At 41.6% G+C, this 16,887-nt stretch overlaps 1 protein-coding gene across 1 annotated transcript in view, besides 1 other annotated feature; it reads right to left on the bottom strand.

Annotated features, from left to right (window-relative positions):
* ARID5B (AT-rich interaction domain 5B) overlaps nucleotides 1-16,887 on the bottom strand; it is a 195,246-nt gene that overhangs the window by 159,386 nt on the left and 18,973 nt on the right. The gene's annotated exons all lie outside the window — the stretch shown is intronic.
* Nucleotides 16,104-16,283: an enhancer, noted in NCBI's record as "active region_3399". NCBI's record gives its function as "activates an Ori minimal core promoter by ATAC-STARR-seq in GM12878 lymphoblastoid cells {active_cell/tissue: GM12878}" and the evidence as "EXISTENCE:reporter gene assay evidence [ECO:0000049][PMID:35858748]".

Genomic DNA, 16,887 nt, shown 5'->3' with positions numbered 1-16,887 from the left:
TCAATTAACCCAGCTCTTAATCAATATTTATGTAAGCTGTGTTGAGCCACGTTCTAAGTCCTTATCCCCTTTCGTCATTGTTTTAAACTGCCTATTTCTGTAATTTGGATTTAGTTTCTACCATTGTCCAAAAACAGCTCATTTAATCATAAATCCTCTAAGTCAAGAGGAGCTCATCCAGTCAAGAAGTCACAAACCAGTCAGCCCATGTGCATGGCGGGCCCTTCCAAGTGTTCTAAAACTTGGGAAACTTTAGGCAAAAATACCCAGACCTCAATCTTCTCTCATAAAATAAAATAAAGGCCAAAAAATAAAAATAAAAAACAGTTGAAACTGATAGAAGCTGCCTTCTTCAGACAAGATGTAAAATCCCCACCACTCCCTATTGCATTGTATTCAGTCCAGTTTTCCCTTAACTATCTGGCCCCCGTGGGCACCAGACATTTAAACTTGTAACATTGATTTAGTTCACCTTTCTCATTTTACTGATGAGGACAGTGAGGTTCAGTGACATGTCCAAGAACCAACTGACGGCAGGACTTGAACAAAGATCCAGGTTTCCTATCTGCCAAGACAGCATCTTGGACTCTGCAGCCAGATTGCTTGGGTTCAAATTCCAGCCCCGGAATTTACTTGCTGTGGAACACTGAGCAACTTCTTCAGCCTCCTTGTACTTCAAAGTTTTTTTTTCTTTCTTTTTTTTTTTTTTTTGGGGAAGAAAAAAAGGGAAACCCAGGTTTTATAATAATTCTGTCTGCCTTGTCCAGCAGTAATTGCCAGGACTCAATGGGTTGATACAAATGAAGTAGCATGTCAGAATTAGCTATCATGATCATTGTTATTTCTTCTCTAAATTGGTGTTTTCCAAACCGTGGCATGCAGAGATGATTTTAGATGGTTCACAGGTAGACTTTTAATTTAATTAAATTAATTTATTTATTTGAGACGGAGTCTCACTCTGTAGCCCAGGCTGAAGTGCAGTGGCACGATCTCAGCTCCTGCAACCTCTGCCTCTCAGGTTCAAGCGATTCTCCTGCCTCAGCCTCCTTAGTAACTGGGATTACAGGTGCCTGCCATCACGCCTGGCTAATCTTTGTACTTTTAGTAGAGACAGGGTTTCACCATGTTGGCCAGGATGGTCTCGAACTCCTGACCTCTGGTGATCTGCCTGCCTTGGCCTCCCAGGGCGCTGGGATTACAGGCGTGAGCCACCGCACCCGGCCCAGAAATAAACTTTTAAAATGTATATTAAGTTTTTCATTGCTTATTTGTTTTGTATTTACTATTTATGGGAAGGTGGTACTGGTTTTCTATTTATAGGAGATATAGCAAGTTTTAAAAAAGGGCCAATTTGAACATAGGCATTAAGTAAACACAGGGAACATGTGGATATAGCCAGAAAAATAAAAGTCAAGATGCTATGAAAATAAAATTTGGAACAATGTGTTATATCATTGGTTTTCAAAGTGGGTTCAGAAACCCTCGGGAATCTCTGAGACCATTTCAGATGGTCCACAGGGTCAAAACAATGATCCTAAAACTACTAAGACATTACTGGCTTTTTTCACTCTCATCCTCTTTCAAGTGTATATATAGTAGGGTTTTCCAGAAACGATGTGACATGTGATATCACAACAGAGTGAATGCAGAAGGAGATATGAGAACTCCGCTCTCTATATAAAGCTAGACAGTAAAGAGATTTACAAAAAATGTAAAACAATGCCACTGTTCTTACTAATTTTTTGTTGTTTTTGAAAATATGGTTAACTTTCATAAAAAGTGCGTTACATTTACATAATGAGTTTATATTGCTATTTTATTTTATTTTTAAATTAACTTACAGTAAAATTTCCTTTTTTGGTGTACAGTTCTGCGAATTTTAACACATGGATAGATTCATATAACTACCACGACTATATTGTCAGGATACAGACTAGTCCCTCACCCTCAAAACCCCTCATATTAATTCTTAGTAGTCACCCTCTCCCTCCACTCCCCACCAGCTCCTGGCAACTACTGATTTGTTCTTGGTATAGTTTTTTCTTTCCTAAAATGTCATATAAATTGAATCATACAGTACAAAATCTTTGAGGCTGCTTCTTAAAGCAGCCTCAAAGAATAATGCCTTTGAGATCCATCCATCCATGACCCTGCTTGTATCGATAGCTTATTCCTTTCTGCAGAGTTCTTATGTATCCATGGTATGTTTGTGTCCCAAAGTTTGTTTATCCACGCACTGACTGAGGGACATCTGGTTTGTTTCAATTTTGGTGATTACAAACAGAGCTGCTATAAATTTCCATGTACGGGCATACCTCTTTTTATTGTGCTTCACTTTACTGCACTTCACAGATATTGCATTTTTTACAAATTGAAAGTCTGTGGGAAGCAAGTTGTGCCAAGAAAGTCTATCGGCCCCATTTTTCCAACAGGAGGTGCTCGCTTTGTGTCTCCAGGTCACATTTTGGTAATTCTTGTGATATTTCAAAACTTGTCATTATTGTTATATCCAGTATGTTGATCTGTAATCTTTTTTTTTTTTTTTTTAATCAGAGTCTTGCTCTGTTGCCCAGGCTGGAGTGCAATGGTGCAATCTCGGCTCACTGCAACCTCCGCCTCCGGGATTCAGACAATTCTCTTGCCTCAGCCTCCCGAGTAGCTGGGATTACAGGCATGTGCCACCATGCCCAGCTAATTTTTGTATTTTTAGTAGAGACGGGGTTTCACCATGTTGGTCAGGCTGGCCTCGAACTCCTGACCTCATGATCCACCCGCCTCAGACTCCCAAAGTGCTGGGATTACAGGTGTGAGCCACCGCACCCAGCCGATCAGTGATCTTTAATATTACTATTGTAATTGTTTGGAGATGCCACAAACCATGCAGATATAAGGTGGCAAACTTCACTGACAACTGTTTTGTGTTCTGACTGCTCCACTGACCTGCCTTTTTCCCCAGTCTATCTCCCTCTCCTCCTGCCTACCTATTCCATAAGACTTAACAATAATGGGCTAATTAATAACCCTACAATGGCCTCTAAGTGTTCAAGTGAAAGTAGGAGTCCCATGCCTCTCCCTTTAAATCAAAAGCTAGAAATAATTAAGCTTAGTGAGGAAGGCATGTCAAAACCCAAGAGAGGCTGAAAGCTAGGCCTCTTGCGCCAGTTAACCATGTTGTGAATGCAAAGGAAAAGCTCTTAAAGGAAATTCAAAGCACTACTCCAGTGAGCATACAAATGATAAGAAGGCAAAACAGACTTACTGCTGATATGGAGAAAGTTTTAGTGGTCTGGGTAGAAAGATCAAACAGGCCACAATATTCCCTTAAACCAAAGCCTAATCCAGAGCAGGGCCCTAACTCTCTTCAATTCTACGAAAGCTAAAAGTGGTGAGGAAGCTGCAAAATAAAGGTTGGAAGCTAACAGAGGTTGATTCATGAGGTTTAAGGAAAGAAGCTGCCTCTGTAACTTTCAAGTACACGGTAAAGCAGGAAATGCTGATGTAGAAATTGCAGCAAGTTTACCAGAAGATCTAGCTAAGATAATTGAAGGTAGCTACACTAAACAACAGATTTTCAATAGAAGATGAAACAGCCTTATATTGGGCAAAAAAGACCATCTAGGACTTTCATAGATAGTGAGATGTCAATGCCAGCTTCAAAGCTTCAGAGGACAGGCTGATTCTTCTGTTAGGGGCTAATGCAGCTGGTGATTTTAAGTTGAAGCCAATGCTCATTTACCATTCTGAAAATCCTAGGGCCTTTCAGGATTATGCTAAATCTATGCTCTCTGTGCTCTATAAATGAAAAAATGAAGCTGGATTGAGAGCACATCTGTTTACAGCAGGGTTTACTGAAAATTTTAAGCCTGCTGTTGAGACCTATTGCTCAGAATAAGAGATTTCTTTACAAATATGACTGCTTATTGACATCCAAGGTTCTGATGGAGATGTACAAAGAGATGAATGTTGTTTTTATGCCTGCTAACACAACATCTATTCTGCAGTCCATGGATCAAGGAGTAACTTTGACTTACGAGTATCATTATATAAGAAATATACTTTATGAAGCTATAGCTGCCACAGTGATTCCTCTGATAGATCTAGGCAAAGTAAACGGAAAACCTTCTAGAAAGCATTCACTATTCTAGATGCCATTAAGTACATTCAGATTCATGAAAGTGGGTCAAAACATCAATATTAACAGAAGTTTGGAAGGCATTGATTCAACCCTCATAGGTGACGACTTTCAGGAATTTAAGACTTCAGTGGAAGAAGTAACTGCAGAGGTGGTGGAAACAATAAGATAACTAGAATTAGAAGTGGAGCCCAAAGATGTGAATGAATTGCTGCAATCTCATGACTAAACTTGAACAGATGAAGAGGAGCTACTTCTTATGAATGAGTAAAGAAAGGGGTTTCTTGACATAAAATCTACTGTTGGTGAAGATGCTGTCAACAATGTTTTTTTGTTTTGTTTTGTTTTTGTTCTTTTGAGTTGGGTCTGGCTCTGTTGGCCAGGTTGGAGTGCATTGGCACCATATGGCCTGAACTCCTGGCCTCAAGCTATCTTCTCACTTCAGCCTCCCGAATAGGTGGGACTACAGGCCTGGCTAAATTTTTAAATTTATTTTTAGAGAGGAGTTTCACTGTGTTGCTTAGGTTGCTCTCAAACTCCTAGCCTCAAGCAATCCTCTTTCCTCATCCTCCCGAAGTGCTGGGATTTGTGAACATTGCTGAAATGACCACAAAAAGTTCAGAATATTACGTCAAGTTAGTTGATAAAGGCAGTGGCAGGGTTTGAGAGGGTTGACTCCAATTTTGAAAGAAATTCTACCTGTGGGTAAAATCCAATCAAGCAGCACTGCATACTACAGAGTAATCTTTCGTGAAATGAAGTGTCAACCAATGCATGGCATTTTAAGAAATTGTGATTTTGAGACCAGCCTGGGCAACATGGCGAAACTGCATCTCAACAGCAACAAAAATTAGCCAGGTGTGGTGGCACACACCCATAGTTCCAGCTACTCAGGGGCTGAGGTGGAAGGATCACTTGAGCCTGGGAAGTCGAGGCTGCAGTGAACCATTAATGCACCACTGCACTCCAGCCTGGGTGACAGAGTGAGATTCTGTCTCAAAAAAAAAAAAAAAGAAAAAGAAAAAGAAAAAGAAAAAAGGAATTGCCACAGTCACCCTAACCTTCAGCAACCACGACCCTGATCAGTCAGCTGCCATCAACATCAAGCCCAGATCTTCCACAAGCAAAAAAAATTACAACTTGCGGAAGACTCAGATGATCTTCAGCATTTATTGGCAATAAGGTATTTTTAAATTATGGTATGTACTTTTTTTTTAGACATATTGCTAACGCACATTTAGCAGACTACAGTATGGTGTAAATGTAACTTTTATACGCGCTAGGAAACCAAAACAGTCATGTGACTAGCTTTATTGCGATATTCATTTTCTTGCAGTGGTCTGAAACCAAACCTGCATTATCTCTAAGGTATGCCCGCACAGGTTTTTGTGTGAACCCATATTTTCAATTCTCTAGAGTAAACACCTTGGAGACAGATTGCTGAGTCATATGGTAAGTATGGATGTAATTTTTCTACAGACTGCCCAACTGTTTTCCAGAGTGGCTGTACCATTTTACATTCCCAACAGCAATGCATGAGAGTTCCAGTTGCTCCCCATCCTTGCCAGTACTTGACACTATCACTGTTAATTAATTGATTATTAATAATTAATAATTATTATCCTAATATGTATGTGGTAGTTTCTCATTGTGTTTTAAATGGTCATCTCTCTAATGACTAATGATGTCAAACATCTTCTTCAGGTGCTAACTCACCAACTGCATGTCCTTTTTGGTGAAATGTGTGTTTAAGTCTTCTGCCCATTTGGTTATTTGTTTTCTTACACTTGAGTTTTGAGAGTTCTTTTAACTTTTTGTCAGATATGTGGTTTGAAACCACTTTCTCCTATTTTGTAGCTTGTTTTAAAATTCTCGTAATAGTGTCTTTCACAAAGCAAAGGTTTTATATTTTGATTAAGTCCAGTTAGATTTTTTTTCTTTTATGGATTGTGGCTTGCCATTATATCTATGAACTCTTTGCCTATCCCAGGTCATAATGAGTTTCTCCTATGTTCTGTTCTAAAAGTTTTATAGGTTTACATTTTACTTTTAGAAATATGATCTGTTTTCACTTAATTGTGTATAAGTTATGAGGTTCAGCTTGATGTATTTTTGTGCATGTGGATGTCATAATTTTTAAATGAATTAATAGATATTTTAAAATTATTTCTCAGTTTTAATTCCTACTGTAGTAAATATCAGTAGGTATAACCTACATAAACAAAAGCTCCTTGGGGCCCTCAATAAGTTGAGTGTAAAGGGTCCTGAGTCCGAAACTTTGAGAGCCATGGTATTATGTCACTAACCCAAGGCGTTTTCTTATTCTTCAATTTCTTTAACTTCTTTGTAGCATTTGGTAATGAACAACCCTAATTTTGACTTGAAACTCTCCTTCCTGTTAAGAACTGTGAAGGGTCTGAGATTTTTACCCTTTTTTCAGACTTCCAAGTTCACCTGCCAGTTTCATGGATGTTGGCAGAAGCCATGAGACTCCTGGCCAGAGACAAAAAATGGTTTATTACTCACAGTAATAGCAATAGTCAATGTACCAGCGTTTGTGGTGGTTCTTTAATACTCAGTTCCCAAAAGGAGATGTGAAGAGGGATAGATGATACCTTTTCACACAATGGGGTGCACTACTGGAGAAGAGTCCTGAGCATAGAGAACCTGTATCTTATTTATTTATTTATTTATTTATTTATTTTTTGAGGCGGAGTCTCGCTCTGTCGCCCAGGCTGGAGTGCAGTGGTGCCATCTCGGTTCACTGCAAGCTCTGCCTCCCGGGTTCACGCCATTCTCCTGCCTCAGCCTCCCGAGTAGCTGGGACTACAGGTGCCCGCCATCACACCCGGCTAATTTTTTGTATTTTTAGTAGAGACGGAGTTTCACCGTGTTAGCCAGGATGGTCTCGATCTCCTGACCTCATGATCCGCCCGCCTCGCCCTCCCAAAGTGCTAGGATTACAGGTGTGAGCCACCGCACCTGGCCGAGAACCTGTATCTTTAATACTGGACAGTAAGCATGCCTGCTCTTGTTCTAAGGAAAAACACTACCTTTGTCTTCCAATGCTATTCACTATATAAAGATCTTTGAAAAGACAGTCCAGAACACAGACAGTCAGTGGCTTTGCTCACAAGATGTGTACATATGCAAGAGACCCTTGGAGAACACCTACCCAACATCTATCACCTCTACATTTCTTTGCTTTATTCAATTTCTCTTCTTCCTCATTCCATCTCCCAACTGGGAAAATGTATGAAACATATACTTAGATGCAATCTGGGATGTGGTCTTCTTTCTCTGCATATCACTCCTTAAAGAAATCATTCTCTATGGGGATTCCAGTGCTCACCCCTAAAGCCCATGACTACATTGTACTGTTTGGTCCCAAAAATTCATCCACACTCTAGTCCCTTGTTATCAATTTGGATGCCTCAGAGTCAACTCAAGCTCAGCGGAACTGCACAGCCTTCCCTTTGACTTACTTGTAAGAAAATATCTTGCCTGGTACAAGGAGACTTTAACACTTCCCAACTGTGGCTAACCTCTCCATAATATCTATTCTTCCTTTCTAATAATAAACTGCTAAATTGCTGGGTGGAGAATAAAGGCGTCCTTTTTCTGCTTCCTTTTACAGCCAGGTGCAGTCACGTGACCAAATTATGACTACAGGATATGAGTATTAGTGATGTCCTTCCCGGATGTAATTCCCTCAAAGGGAATAAGTGTAGCTTTGGACCATAAGAATGAGGGCAAATTGCTCAGGAGAAAAAGGAGCCCAGTCCCTAGACAACCTCACAGAGCAAAGCCACCACACTAGCCCTGTGAGCCATCTACGTCTGTACCATGATAAGAGATTTTGAACTCCCAATGTATCTAAGCAACTATAATATACGAGTCTCTGTTACACACAGCTGAACCTATATCCTTACTAATATGGCATCCCTCCAGAGAAAGAACATGAACTTTTCTTATCATACTGTGTTGTACCCAGTAACAGATCATTGGTAAGGAGAGCTATAATCACCTAGCATCCCAAGGACAATAAATGCACAAGTGTAATATCAGACGGGTTGGCAGGGAGGGGATGGAACAAGAACAGGAAAGCATGGCATACTCACCTCAGTCTTCCCTGAACATCCCAGGCTTTCAAAATGTACTTTGTAGCATTTGAAACATGATAAATGTTGGGAACACAAAAACAACAATATGAGGTATTAGCTAAATAAATTGTGACACCGAAATACTAGTCCAACTAGTTGCATGAGGGTGGCAAACTTTAATTAAGATAGAAATTAAAAATGAAGGAACTCTGTTAAGAGTCAACTTTTAGACAGACTAACTACAACCACTTCAGCTTGTGTCCTGACGGAACCATTCCTGGCAGGTGCATGTGCCTCTGGTGTGCACCAATGGAGACGGGTAGGGGGAAGAATGTACCACCTCGAAGCCTGGGTGGTTTGGCCACTCCCTTGCTTTCAAGCCTCCCTCAGACACACTGCAATTTGAGGTACCTACCAGTTTGCCCAACTGTTCTCCCCATTACACATTAGTGTATTCTGCTAATGGGATATCTACAGAGGGAGTAAAAAGGTTTCACACTACAGATAAGTAGTTGCCACTCGGAATCCAAGAAAGTCAGAAAAGACAGGATGGTAATATGGATCAAACAAGATGAAGCTTTCACTGGTCAGCGGTGAAATGAGAAAAATGGGGACAATGCAGTCAAGCTTCATTAAGCTAAACTTGCTAGATTTCAAGGACTCTCCTTGTATCAGTCAGAATCCCAACAGGAAACCAATGGAATACTTGAGTAATAATAATTCAAGTTGGGGGGCAGGTACGGTGGCTCATGCCTGTAATCCCAGCACTTTGGGAGGCCAAGGTGGGTGGATTGCTTGAGCCCAGGAGTTCAAGATCAGCCTGTACAAAACCCAATCTCTACAAAAAATACAAAAATGAGCCAGGCATGGTGGCAGGTGCCTGTAGTCTCAGCTACTCAGGAGGCTGAGATGGGAGGATCACCTGAGCCCAGGAAGTTGAGGCTGCGGTGAGCCATGATTGTGCTACTGCACTCCAGCCTAGGTGACAGAGTTGAGACCCTGTCTCAATAATAATAATGATAGTAATAATAATTCAAGGGGAGGTTTTACACTGGAACAAGTGACAGAGGTGTTGGGATGTAAAGGAATCGTAAGAGATACACAGTACAGGAACCTGGGCTGGAGCAGCTCAGCCATCACCACTCCTGGGCTAAAGGGCCGCAGAGGGGTGGGAGTGATTACCAGAATAGAGAAGACCCTTCTACCAAACACAATGACTCTTCCTTAAAGGGATGCCACCAGCCTGAAGGGACCAGCCTGAAGGGAAGCAACAGGGAATAAATACCTGCCTCCACACTTCTCCCTTCCTCCCGCTCCCAGCACCTCTATGAGTAAACCCCACCGGAAACCACAGTGCCCAGGGCCTCTGTTAATGGAGCCCGCATAGGTCAGCCTCCCAGGGCAGAAAGCAGAGAAAAGAAAGGAGTGGCCCTGATATGGAGGGACTCCACACACTCTCCGCTGGAGACTTTTATCCCTTCTCGTTTCTTTCATGCGGTATTATAATATCCTTTATTTTCTCTGAAATGATGATATCAAAAGATGCTGGTAGTTGTTTTTGAATGTCCTTATTAGGCAAAATAAAAAGCTATCTCATCTAAGTTGGTCCCTGAACTGGGACTTACTGTTCTTATTACCTGTGACATAATGTTAAATCTTTATTAGGCACTAGTATTTGATGCTGAATTGCATAATTCTGTCTTCTACAGTAAACACCTCAATTGCAAATATTTTTTAGAGGCAGGTTTCCTTGCCTAACTTCCACTTCTCTTGTACTTCCCAAAGAGCCAAGGCCTGTGTTGGGCCCAAAGCACCAAGTGCTTATTTTAATGGTACATCATCTCTGAATGTACCATGTTGGAAGAAACTAAGGGAGAGCTGAGAAAACCCTGGCTTTTGAGTCTGATGGACTGAGGTTCAAGTGCAGCTCTACTGTGTTATTTTAGCCTATTTTCCTCATTTTTTAGATGAGACCCTGGCAAGTCTATGTTATTCTTGGACTTGTCAAGGTCTCATATAAAAAAAATGGGGAAAATAGGATAAAGTAACCAACTACATAGGGTAGTTAGGATGCTGTAGTTGTTACAATACAATGGTCAACACAGAGTAGGCATCCATGAAATAATGGTGATTACTATTATATATTATCTCTTGAGCAGAAAATGAAGGGAGGGCAAGTGGGATTCAAATGTCCCTTGTGGGTAACTGTGCATGTTCCTAACTCTTCTTAATTCTTTGTCTAGGAACAATAATGGTCCTGTAACTCCTGCTGGTATCTCCAAGGGAAGGTTGGACCAGAAGACAATTATTAGATTGCTGTAAAAGTCATTGTGGTTTTTGCCATTACTTTCAATGGCAAAAACCGCAATTACTTTTGCACCAACCTAATAATAGGCTTGAGGCCAGGCACGGTGGCTCACGCCTGTAATCCCAGCACTTTGGGAGGCCGAGGCGGGCAGATCACGAGGTCAGGAGATCAAGACCATCCTGGCCAACACGATGAAACCCCATCTCTATTAAAAATACAAAATACAAAAAAACCCAAAAACTAGCTGGGTGTGGTGGTGCACGCCTGTAGTCCCAGCTACTTGGGAGGCTGAGGCAGGAGAATCACCTGAACCAGGGAGGAGAAGGTTGCAGCGAGCTGAGATCGTGCCACTGCACTCCAGCCTGGTGACAGAGCGAGACTCTGTCTCAAAAAAATAAATAAATAAATAAAATATAACAATAATAATAATAAAATTAAATACCTGGGTTTCTCATCCTCCCCAGCTCTCAAGGACACAGCTGCAGAAAACTCAGAGATGCTTTACTTGACACAGACACTAGTCTACGAATTTAATAGACATTATCCCATCTAATCCCTATAAGGACTTTCTGAGATAGGTGGTCTTAACTCATTTTAGAGATGAAAAAACTGAAGTGGAACCAGAAACCAGCATGGTAGCATCATCTTCTTTCTGGAAAACTGGTCATTTAAACCTTGACAGTAGTCACATCCCAACCTACTCCCTCCCTGGGACAAATGCACCTTTCCCCACCTCCTGCCAATTCCCTGGGGTGAATGGGATTTCAAGTCACTTCACAAAAAGGATTTTAATTTTTAATTTTTATCGTGTTTTTGTTCCCAAAGAAAGACGGCAGAAATCACCACTCATGTGCTAGTTAAAAATGTAAAGAATTTTCTGTTGTCAGAGCAATGAAGATAGACTCTGAAGTATGTGCTAAGATTTAATTTGACTCCCTTAACATGATGAAATGATTTGCCACGGAGGCTCTTTAGTGTATTGGGTTCTAATTTCCCAAGCTAGCCCCTCCTCTTCCAACCTTTTCCATCCTGCTCACCAGATCTTTGACGCCTGTGGCTCGATGAATTTTGGAAATCCATCCGGGCACAAGAGGAGGGAGTAAACAAACAGAAGATTGCTCTGAGGCACGCTTTGTTAAATGTAACGCGACCATCCTTCATGGTTATAGCCAACGGCATTTGCGTATCAAACAAGTAATTCAAAAATCCTAAATATTTTATGTTCCTAAATACATTTTTAATACACACTAATCTAAAACCTGGTCGGCTGCAGCCTGCTCCCCTGACCATCTCCAGAGAAAGTCCTAGAAACACCCTCTCATAATTCCCTGTTCCATTTCTTTCCTCTTGGGCTTACCATGCATGTACCTTTTTCCTCCCTAAAATAAAAGACAACTTACACAGAGAGCAGAAAATTGCATCCCAGTGTCCTACATACTTTCTCTCTAAACAGTCAAGCATTTGATATGCAAAGAAGAGGCTTTACTTATATCAGTGTTAGTTAAGCCTGCCTACTTTTTCTCTGGCCAAATTAATAGGGTGTAAACTCCATGGTCTATTTTTTTTTTAACTCCTTTCAGGTTGCCATAATAAAAGCTAGCTTGGCACCCAGTTAGCTCTGGCCATTAAAACATTAACAAAGAAGATAAATGAGCCCAATTCCAGTGTTATGCTCAGTTAAGCCATATGTAAGAACACCCAATAAAAGCAAAAACCGTAACAATAAAGCCCAAACCCAACCACCACCCAATCCGGAATGACTCGACCATTACTTTAACATCTGATTTTTTTGACCATTTAATTTTTTTTTTCTTGGAGACAGAGTCTCTGTCGCCCAGGCTAGAGTGCAGTGGTGCGATCTCTGCTCACTACAACCTCTGCCTCCCGGGTTCAAGTGATTATCCTGCCTCAGCCTCCCGAGTAGCTGGGATTACAGGTATGTGCCACCATGACCAGCCATTTTTTGTATTTTCAGTAGGAACAGGGTTTCACAATGTTGGCCAGGCTGGTCTCAAACTCCTGACCTTTAAGTGATCCACCCGCCTCAGCTTCCTAGAGTGCTGGGATACAAGCATGAGCCACTATGCCCAGCCTTTTTCATCCACTTTTGCAGGCACATGACCTTCTGCCCAGGTACATCATCCAGCAGAGTCTATCCCATAAAGACCCTCAAAGGAAGAAGAAAACCCTTGGCCCCTGTTGGTGTATGAAAATCTGAATTATTAAAGCTTACTGGTCATCTGGCACAGAGTCTCAATATACCGTTGCCATTAATTAGAAGAGCAGTCTTCCAAGAATCACTGACAGCCTTATGCCTATTTAGGACACTTTAATGTACAAACCGAGTAAATCTTCCTGTTTTCTGTAGCCTCTGTTTAAACATAAACATATGATTTAGACACACTCCATTCTTGTTAAATTTTTTTACTCTGTTCACTTAGCACAGTTCACATTATTATCCTCACATGTACAAAGGCAGTGGGATAATTTGAGACCCATAGCTTTATTTAATAATGTAATTATCCTATATTGGATTACTTAAACGGACTTTGTATTTATAAGTTCTAGTTTTTCCTAGACTAGTGATATGCTCTGCTGCAGTAAATGATTCAGGCTTCAGTCAAAAGCCCTAAATTCAGTTTGGAAAAATATTGAGTGTTTTTCAATAAGCCAGGATTAATGCAAAAGCCAATTTGCAACCACAGTTGGTGCTTTTTCTACTCCTGTTCAACGACTGTGGTGTGGAGGCCAACACAAAGGACAGACTCAAGCAACTACAACCGCCTGAGTCCAACTCTTTTGCCTCCTCGGGGAGGTTGTACAAGCCAGAGAATACAGCCTAACTTTTCCTCAAGACATGCTTTCTAAAGGTGGGGCTGAAAACTTGTGCAGCTTTCCATGCCCTGTGCTCTGCATCCTTGCAGGTGGAGCTTAAAGAAAGAATGAATAAATGAATGAATAGATGCATACTACTAGGCATCCTGACAAAACAATCACAGGAGGGAATCCAGGAGGAGTCATCTCTGCCACCTTTAAGAGAGCATTCACAAGCTGAGCTTCATCCAGTGTTGTTGTCAGGAGAGATTTTGTTCTAGCTTTTCCCAAACTCAATTCAATCTGATCCAATTACCTTGTATTGACTCTCTGCTCTGTGCCAAGCACTGGGCTGAGTATCAGCTACAGAGATAAGGATGGATAAGACATGGTGCTGCCCTTCAGAAACACACAGCGCCCAGGCAGAGTCTCCTGCTCCTTTCCTGGGAAGTGCAGCTCACACTCCTTCTAGTCCTTTGTCAGAGAGTTCACTCACTCTTTCATCTTCAGTGTTGCAAGCATCTATTCTGAGCTGTGCTAGGCACTAGGAACAGCTGGGGAACAAGCCTCTCTGAGTCATACAGCAGCCAAGGTGGGGGAGATGGACAGTAAACGTAAGCCCTTAGCTAAATGTGGTTTATATAATGAAAAATGGTCATAAGTGATTTTATCAGTTCAACAAATATTTATTGAACACCGACTCTATGCCAGGCACTGGGGTTACAGCCAGGAATAAAACAGACAAAACCCCTACTCCTCTAGAGCGGATAGTCATGTATGTGTGGACTGGGTAGAAGAGCCAGATAGTAAACAAAATCTGATGCAAAAGGACGAGAAGAGGCATTGATGGGGCAAGGGGTGGAAGCGGGGATGACTGAAATTGAGTGGTCAGGAAAGGTCTCTCTGCTCAGACCCTGAGAAAGAAAAGGAAGCAGCCAAGTTAAGAGGTGAGGGAAGATGGGGAAGAACACAGGACACTGTGGGCAGAGGAACAGCACACGTGAAGCCACTGGGAGAAACGTGGTACATGGTTACATTTAAGGCTAAAAAAAGAAAAACATACAACATGCCCCATGTGTATGTCTTACTGCTGATGCATGCTCCTCAATTTGAATCCAGACCCCTTTTCTTTAAGTTCCCACTAGGTTTAACATGGAAGCCACCCCATAAATCAATTTCCATTATTAAAAATTAACCAGTATCACTGAACATCATTATGCATTAAAAAAACATTGGCCAGAATCTGTTTAATACTACCTTTTTCTCAAAGCTCTAATGCCTACATATGTATGTTGTGAGCACTTTGCTGAAGACCAAACTGCACACTTCCAGAAAGAAAGATCAATGAGTCTTCTCACAAAACAGTTAACTTGCACAGAATTTAAAAGATGGCAGACCAGCTGCTCTCCTGACGTATACACAACATGGAAGGAGGGCCAGGAGATGCTCACCTCTTGTAGATACACTCATGAGAAACACACCTGGGACAAGAATCCCTCTCATGTGGATTTTTAGGTCTTCTTTCCATGGCCGTATGCCAACATGATTTAAAGCCTCTCCTCAACCACTGTGCATGAAACATACCTATTTTCTTTTTTTGAGACGGAGTCTCACTCTGTCACCCAGGCTGGAGTGCAGTGGCATGATCTCGGCTCACTGCAACCTCCACCTCCCGGGTTCAAGCGATTCTCCTGCCTCAGCCTCCCAAGTAGCTGGGACTACAAGCATGTGCCACCACGCCCAGCTAATTTTTGTATTTTTAATACAGACAGGGTTTCATCATGTTGGCCAGGCTAGTCTTGAACTCCTGACCTCAGGTGATCCACCCGCCTTGGCCTCCCAAAGTGCTGGGATTACAGGCGTGAGCCACCATGCCCGGCCCAAACATGCCTATTTTCTTATGCATTAAGGAGCCTGTTTATATCAGCTACAGGATCCTCCTTCCTCATTTCTCTCTGCCGATTTCTCATCTAACCAGACACAATGCCCTTTCCAGCAAAACTCTCCAAATGCAATGATCAAGACATTAGATGTAAAAAAGACCCGATATGGCTTGTTGACATGCTGTAAGACTAACAAATCTTCAAAAGATTAGGCAATCTGCAGTCTACTGTGTATGTCATCTATAGTTATATGCCCTGAAGAGCGGGGAGATATTTGGGAGGAACCATCCAAGGAGACTGTATCAAAAAATTAGCCGGGCACAGTGGTGCACGCCTGTGGTCCCAGCTATTTGGAAGGCTGAGGTGGGAGGATCGCTTGAGCCAGGGAGGTCGAGGCTGCAGTGAGCCGTGGTCACACTACTGCACTCCGACCCAGGTGACAGAGTGAGACTCTGTCTCAAAAATAAATAAATAGATAAACAACTAATAAAAGGGAAAAAAGGAAAAAAGTAAAACAGAGTAAGAAGAATACCTTTCAACCCTCATCAGATGAGCTGTACACTGAAGTGATTGGCTCTGTTGCCAGCTGTAATAGGTGGCCTCGAAGATGGTCCCCTGAGATTATATGCAACCTCCTAATAATCTCCTGCTCTTGGGTGTGGGCTAGACAATAATGCCTCACTTCTAACAAACAGAATTAGGCAAAAGTGATGGGATGTCACTTCCAGCATCAGGTTATAAAAGGACTATGGCTTGTGTCTCATTCCTACACCTTACACTCTGAGGGGAGTCCGTTGCCATGTTTGAGTTGCCCTATGGAGAGGCCCATGTGGCCCAGCAAGGAAGCCAGGGAGACCCAGACCCACTGCCTGAGAGGAACTGAGGGCCTCAGTCCAACAGCCTGAGAGATCTGAGACCTGTCAACAGGCAAGTGAGTGGGTCTGAAGTATTAATAGATCCTCCCTCTACAGAGCTTTCAGATGGCCACAGCTGGGGAGGACACCTTGACTGGAGCTTTGAGAGTCCCTTAGCAAGAGGCACCCAGCTAAGCCTTACTCAGACTTGCCACCCACAGAAACTGTGGATAGTAAGTGTTGTTTTAACAAGACACCAAATCTGGGGTAATCTGTTACACAACAATAGATAACCGATACAACCATCTTTAACACAGGACACATTTACACACCATTGTATGACAATAAAATAAAGTTTGTAAAATGAGGTGCTAAATATGTTTCAAGTATTCCTAGAAATTAGATAATTTTCTGCAGAGTTGACGACAAACCAATAGTAAAATACTTCATGCAACTGCCTAAATCCTAAATCAACTGCCTGTATGAGAGATCTTTCATTTTGGAGGGGTATCCATAGAAATTTCTAAGAATACTATCTAACAATGTGAGTGTATTTTTCAGTATGAAAGAGGCCATATAATCTTGCCAAGTATGGCTAACTTGAACATGTTTGATCTCCTCTAACTAGAGAGAAAGAAGCTGATTTTATTCATCCCCTTATCACCCCCCATAGTACCCTGGTACATCCTAATAAATATTGATTGAATTTAATTGAATAAAAGGTTATAGTCAAAGGCCCATATTTAAAAATATAAATGTTATATTTTTTCAAGAGCAATATTATGTTATGCCC

The sequence above is a fragment of the Homo sapiens genome, chromosome 10 (assembly GCF_000001405.40).
Source record: "Homo sapiens chromosome 10, GRCh38.p14 Primary Assembly".
NCBI classification, from domain to species: domain Eukaryota; kingdom Metazoa; phylum Chordata; class Mammalia; order Primates; family Hominidae; genus Homo; species Homo sapiens.
This window is presented reverse-complemented; position numbering and strand designations above follow the sequence as displayed.